This window comes from Homo sapiens, chromosome 1, assembly GCF_000001405.40.
Source record: "Homo sapiens chromosome 1, GRCh38.p14 Primary Assembly".
NCBI classification, from domain to species: Eukaryota; Metazoa; Chordata; class Mammalia; order Primates; family Hominidae; genus Homo; species Homo sapiens.
The window spans coordinates 109,421,668-109,427,667 of NC_000001.11; the positions used below are offsets into that span (position 1 = coordinate 109,421,668).

At 44.7% G+C, this 6,000-nt stretch overlaps 1 protein-coding gene across 4 annotated transcripts in view, besides 2 other annotated features; it reads right to left on the bottom strand.

Moving 5' to 3' along the window:
- The window catches only part of PSMA5 (proteasome 20S subunit alpha 5), a 27,407-nt gene extending 22,626 nt beyond the window's left edge, over positions 1-4,781 (bottom strand). Inside the window, exons 1-2 of one of the 4 annotated variants that reach the window (NM_001199774.2) lie at positions 4,753-4,781; positions 193-259 (exon numbers count right to left, since the gene is read on the bottom strand). Coding sequence is in view for 1 of the 4 variants with exons in the window: in NM_002790.4 (NP_002781.2) it covers positions 193-259; positions 4,635-4,663 (96 nt within the window). In the remaining 3 variants the exon portion in view is untranslated. Of the gene's footprint in view, positions 1-192; positions 260-4,634 lie in introns of all 4 variants that reach the window. The other 3 variants (NM_001199773.2, NM_002790.4, NM_001199772.2) reach the window with 3 other exon arrangements.
- Positions 4,844-5,775: an enhancer, noted in NCBI's record as "H3K27ac hESC enhancer chr1:109969133-109970064 (GRCh37/hg19 assembly coordinates)". NCBI's record gives its function as "activates a minimal SCP1, AML or CMV promoter by ChIP-STARR-seq in primed H9 embryonic stem cells {active_cell/tissue: H9 hESC(primed)}" and the evidence as "EXISTENCE:reporter gene assay evidence [ECO:0000049][PMID:30033119]".
- Positions 5,282-5,341: an enhancer, noted in NCBI's record as "active region_1440". NCBI's record gives its function as "activates an Ori minimal core promoter by ATAC-STARR-seq in GM12878 lymphoblastoid cells {active_cell/tissue: GM12878}" and the evidence as "EXISTENCE:reporter gene assay evidence [ECO:0000049][PMID:35858748]".

Here is a 6,000-nt window from a genome sequence, read left to right on the forward strand (position 1 = left end):
TGCTCAAAAAGTTTTAAAATAGATATTAGGAATAGGATTGAAACTGTTATAAAAATGGTTAACAGTGGTTGCTTAAAGGGATATAAGAACATTTTCTAAAGGAATGGTTAAACCACATTTACTCCAAGTGTTCTGCCAGCAAAATGTTAGGTAGCCATGAAATTTCAGGACCTATGCTACTTGCTACTATACCTTGATAGCCTCAATGGCATATTCCACTTGAAATAATCTTCCTTCGGGAGAAAAAGTATTCACGCCCCTATAATTTAAAAAAAAATTATTAATTATACTCATAAAAACTAGCCATGTAGACACTGAATTCAAGTTCCTTGACAACTAGCTCAGATAGCTACAGAATACGCACATTGTCATTATTCTCTACTTCGCCCACAACAATCTGTAGCATTTTTTTGTACATTAACAGTTTCTCAAGGCAATGGAACCTATATATAGAACACTTCTGCCTCACTCCCAGAAAGTCTTCCCAAATTGATGAAATGAGAGCAAATGACTTTTCTGCCTCAATCCTGAATCAACTTGGATCCATTCTGAATAGACTTACCAGTTCCTTTGGTAAGTTCATGCCTCAAAACTATCAGCCAATTTCCAAGAAAATGTGCATTTTTCCTTATCCTCTTCCCATAACATGCATATGACGTTAATACTTGGGGTTATCACTCTTCTTTCCATTCTCAATGCCCTCATTACCTTTCACCTAACGTTTGTAATAGTCTCCTAACAGGTATTGACTCGTGGAGCAAGTAGGAAGAGTTTTCCCCCTAATTCAGACAATCTCTATAAAACACAGTTATTACTTTTTTTTTTTTTTTTTTGAGACAGAGTCTCGCTCTGTCGCTCAGGCGGGTGCGATCTCAGCTCACTGTAACCTCCGCCTCCTGGGTTCAAGCAGTTATCCTGCCTCAGCCTCCCCAGCAGCTAAGACTACAGGTGCATGCCACCACGCCCGGCTAATTTTTGTATTTTTAGTAGAGATGGGGTTTCACCATATTGGCCAGGCTGGTCTTGAACTCCTGACCTCGTGATCCACCCGCCTCGGCCTCCCAAAATGCTGGGATTACAGGCATGAACCACTGTGCCTGGGCCTAATTATTACTTTTTACTAAAAGTTAGTCACAGGTACATTTCTCTACTTATTTGTATGAATTACTATTGTTATCTTAACAGACTGAGATCCATGTAGTTCCTAATTCTAACCTAGTTCATTCACTCAATATTTATATAACTTACATGTCAGACTGCTTTCCTCTCTAAACACTTCCCCTTAACACTTAACACTTTCCACCTTTCCTTGCTCAAGTGTGCTGGAAATCCCTACGGAGAAGAGGCACCAATCATGGTCTCAGCTATAAAAGCTTTGAGCACACAATGGACACAAAAAATATGTGAACAAATGAATGAGATGGTTGCAATCCGTGGTTTATGGAGTCCAGACTTTACAACAGGTAACATGTCATATAGTAGTGCTTTTGGCCTGGCGTGGTGGCTCACGCCTGTAATCCCAGCACGTTGGGAGGATGAGGCAGGCGGATCACCTGAGGTCAGGAGTTCGAGACCAGGCTGGCCAACAAGGTGAAACCCCGTCTCTACTAAAAACACATAAATTAGCTGGGCGTGGTGGCAGGTGCCTGTAATCCCAGCTACTTGAGAGGCTAAGGCATGAGAATCACTTGAACCCAGGAGGCGGAGGTTGCAGTGAGCCGAGATGGTGCCACTACACTCCAGCCTGGGAGAGTGCTAAGCACAAGTTACTTCCAAATCTCTACTACCAGTTTCACCTCTTTCCTAACTAATTTAAATGTTTGCTGAACATTTCCACTTGCATATCCTATTAGCACTTAACACTTAACGTTTTCCAGTTTGAAATATTATCTCTTTAAATCCAGCCACCTTGCAAAATTGACTTCATCTCCTGCCATTCCAATTTCAGTTTTAATTTAAAACATCTCAAATCTTCCAGTGTTCCCAACATACGAAGTTCTAAATGATCTGACTCATTCCTCCCCATCTTTTCCCATATCCAACTATATGCTAAGTCATACCAATTCATATCAATTCCTCCTCCACAGTAACACATCACTCTTCCTTCTCAATGCCCTCATTACCTTTCACCTAACTATTGTTAATAGCCTAACACTAACAGGTATTGACTCACTTTCCCCTAATTCAGACAATTAATCTCTGTAAAACACAATTATTATTTAACAGCACACAGTTGCCTACAGAAATAGGACCCAAACTCCTTAGCCTCGTATTAAAAACCATTCAATATCTAGCAGCATCCTGTTTTTCCCATTATCTCCTGCTGTTCCCATACACGTATCATATGTGCCAGTCAGACTGGACTTTTCCCAAAATGTATTGTGCTTTTCCATTGCCCCTCCTTCATTTATCCCATATTCTCCAACCCACAACTATTGATCTCACTGTCTTTATTAAATTCCTACTCTTTCAAGAAACCTAGTTTAAATGTCAGCTCCTTTGTGAAGTTTTCCATGATCGTCTCATATTGAATGCAATCCCTCATCAAAACTTCCATGGTATTGATTTGAATTTCTCTAATGGCATTAATATATTTCTGACTCACACTATAGTTACTTCTGTAAACAATTCTTTTTTTTTTTTGGAGACAAGGTCAGCGCCACCACACCCGGCTGATATTTTTTAATGTTTAGTAGAGATGAGGTCTCACTATGTTGCCCAGGCTGGTCTCCAACTCCTGAGCTCAGGCAATCCTGCCTCGGCCTTCCAAAGTGCTGGAATTACAGGCATGAGCCACTGTACCTGTAAACAATTCTTTAAGAGTCTCAGGCCGAGCGAGGTGGCTCTCGCCTGTAATCCCAGCACTTTGGGAGGCCAAGGCAGGTGGACCACGAGGTCAGGAGTTCAAGACCAGCCTGGCCAAGATGAGGAAACCCTGTCTCTACTAAAAACACAAAAATTAGCCGGGCGTGGTGGCACCGCCTGTAATCCCAGCTACTCAGGACGCTGAGTCAGAGAATTGCTTAAACCCAGGCGGCAGGCCAGGCGCGGTGGCTCACTCCTGTAATCCCAGCACTTTGGGAGGCCAAGGCAGGTGGATCACGAGGTCAAAAGATCGAGACCATCCTGGCCAACATGGTGAAACCCTGTCTCTACTAAAAATACAAAAATTAGCTGGGAGTGGTGGCGCGCGCCTGTAGTCCCAGCTACTCGGGAGGCTGAGGCAGGAGAATCGCTTGAACCCAGGAGGCGGAGGTTGCAGTGAGCCGAGATCATGCCACTGCACTGCAGCCTGGCGACAGAGCGAGACTCCGTCTCAAAAACAAACAAAACCCAGGAGGGGGAGGTTGCAGTGAGCCAAGATCACGTCACTGCACTCCAGCCTGGGCCACAGAGCGAGACTGTCTCAAAAGAGTCTCCTATATGCGAGCAAGGAGCTTGATTTTGTCCATTGCTGTAGCACCAGCACCTAGAACAGTGCCTTGTTCACAGCAAGCACTCAAGCACATTAACTAAGAGAATAAAAAGGGATGTATTTTAGGCCGTCTTGGGAAGACAGAAAAATAAGTAACAAAGCAGTCAATACATATGTTAAGTAAATGGCCACAAAATTTAATAAATGCCTTCTGATAAGCATAACAATTTCTATCATACACACCCTAACTCAAAATTATGTCACCCGAAGATGATTCTCTTCAATGTTCTGGAAGTTAAATATCGACCAACAAAGTCACTTTATAGGACAGTGGGGAAATATGTCAAAACTTCACACACATCTTCTACGAGTCAGTAAAAAAGATGAAAAAGTGGTAACTGCAGGTGGTAAAACTTCGACAGGATCAGCATATACTTGACAGGAAATGCAGCATCTCATACCACTCAGTACAAAGAAAATGTCTGCCTTCCCTGACTTTAAAAAAGAGTAGCTATGTAAAAACTTAACTGACGAAAACAGAAACTGAAAGTAAAAATGTCTACAGCATATATATGTACAACTTAATATTGTGAACATTTTCATACCACAAAAGTTTTTTAAAACTTGCTTTAAACTTTTAAAAAGTCAGAAAAAATTTTGGTCAATTGGAATCGGCATGATGAGAAATCTCTTGAAAACCATTCTAAATTCCAGTTCCTATAAAATCAGACTCCAGACAATATATCCAGCCAAAGCTACGACTGCCTTCGCGCTTCTGAAGAAACTATACACCGCAGCATGCCCTACTACAAACCAGTTGCTTTTTCTTCCAGGAAGCACGTTTAACTTTTTGTTTGTTTGTTCAAGGCAGTCATACTAGGCACGAAAAGATGAACGGAGCAAAGAGTGACCCTTGGCCTTCTCCGGGTTCAAGGTAGGAGTTCCGGCTCCTCACGCCTTCTTTACCAAGCACCAGCCGGAGCTTCTCGCTTCCGCACCGAGTTAGGACCCAGGGGTGACTCAGCGGTAGGACAAGTGCCGCCGATGTGGTCTAGCTTGGGGAAGGACGGCGGGCGCCTGAGGAGGGCATAACATCCCCAGGTCCGGCCAGTCTCGGGTTCCTGGGGAGCCCCATGACACGGCAGAACCCAGGCCGCGCGGCCAGGTCCCGGGCCTGCCCACCCATAATTCCCACCCGACGTCCCCCAGCTGCACGGACCTGTCGTACTCAGACCGGGTAAGAAACATGGCGAGGGTAGGAGGAGGCAGCGGCTACGCGGGGATTCTGAGGACCAACACGACTCCACCGGCACCCAACTCACCGGCAGCCAACTCACCCACACGGCCGCAGTACTAAGGACCAACTGCGCGTGCGACCGCGACCTCTTTAGCCCGCCCTCCTGTGCCTGCTTCCTATTGGCTGGTAGTAGTTCCCGCCTAGGTGATTGGGCCAACGCGCTTCCTCACGAGGGCTTGGTTGGTCCGGAGGAGGAGGAGGACCAGGGAGGTACTTCCGCCTTAAATCGCGGGTGGTTGCTAGGGACGATAGGCACCCAAGGCGTGTAGTGAGTTCGCCTTGTAGAGAAGATGTGAGCCCGCCCCAAGACTGGCAATTGGAAAGGCTTGCATGCAGAGCTGGGTTGTCTGAACCCTGACATAATAGGTCCCTCGCCGGCTCCCGTAATCCCAGCTAGAGGACTTTGGTCCCGTTTCCGGCAAGGCCACCACCTGACTTCTCTTCGCAGGATTCCCTCTCTTAGGGTTCCTCCACGGTGTTCTCCATGCCCGGTCGAGGGCTCCAGGACTTTGGGCGGTAATGAGTCGGCTACAGTGGGTCTGAGCCGGCGCCGCGGACGAGTCCCTTCGTTTCAGCCAGTTTGGCTCGTTTATTGAGAAAAGTGGGGGGCGAGGGGTTAGTATGTAAGAAAGTCTTAAAGTTTCCACATGGTTAAGGTAATTTTATCAACTCTTTCTTGCACCCCTCCCCCTAGTACAGGTTTCAGACCTAAATAACCTAGAGTTCAGGATCCAGACTTCAAAATATTCACTGCTTTTTCTGTTGTTTGTGAAAAATAAGTGTTTTCTTTGAGCCCAGATCGTGCTATTGCACTCCAGCCTGGGCAACAGCCAAACCCTATCCGAAAAAAAAAAAAAAAAAAAAAGCGCTTTCTTTTTCGACGCTTCTTGCTTCCCTTCAATAAGTTGCTTGAGGAGCAACTTTGCAGCTTCGTAATAACACTGTAATTCAAGTATTTGTTCAAGAAAGGCAAGTAAGAAGTCTTGGCACGGGGGTGGGGAATATAGGGAAATGTTGGTCAAATGATACAAAGTTTCAGTCAGAGAAGGTGGATGAGTTCTATAGTTAATAATCATATATTGTGTACTTGAAATTGTGAAGAGGGTACACCTTAAATGTTCTCACCACAGGAAAGTATGTGAGATGATGGATTATGTTGATTAGCTTCATTTAATTATTTGCAGTGTGTGTGTGTATATATATGTATATCAAAACGTCACGTTGTATACCATAAACATGAACAATTTCTATTTGTCACTTACACCTTAAAGCTGGAGTCGGGGGAAAG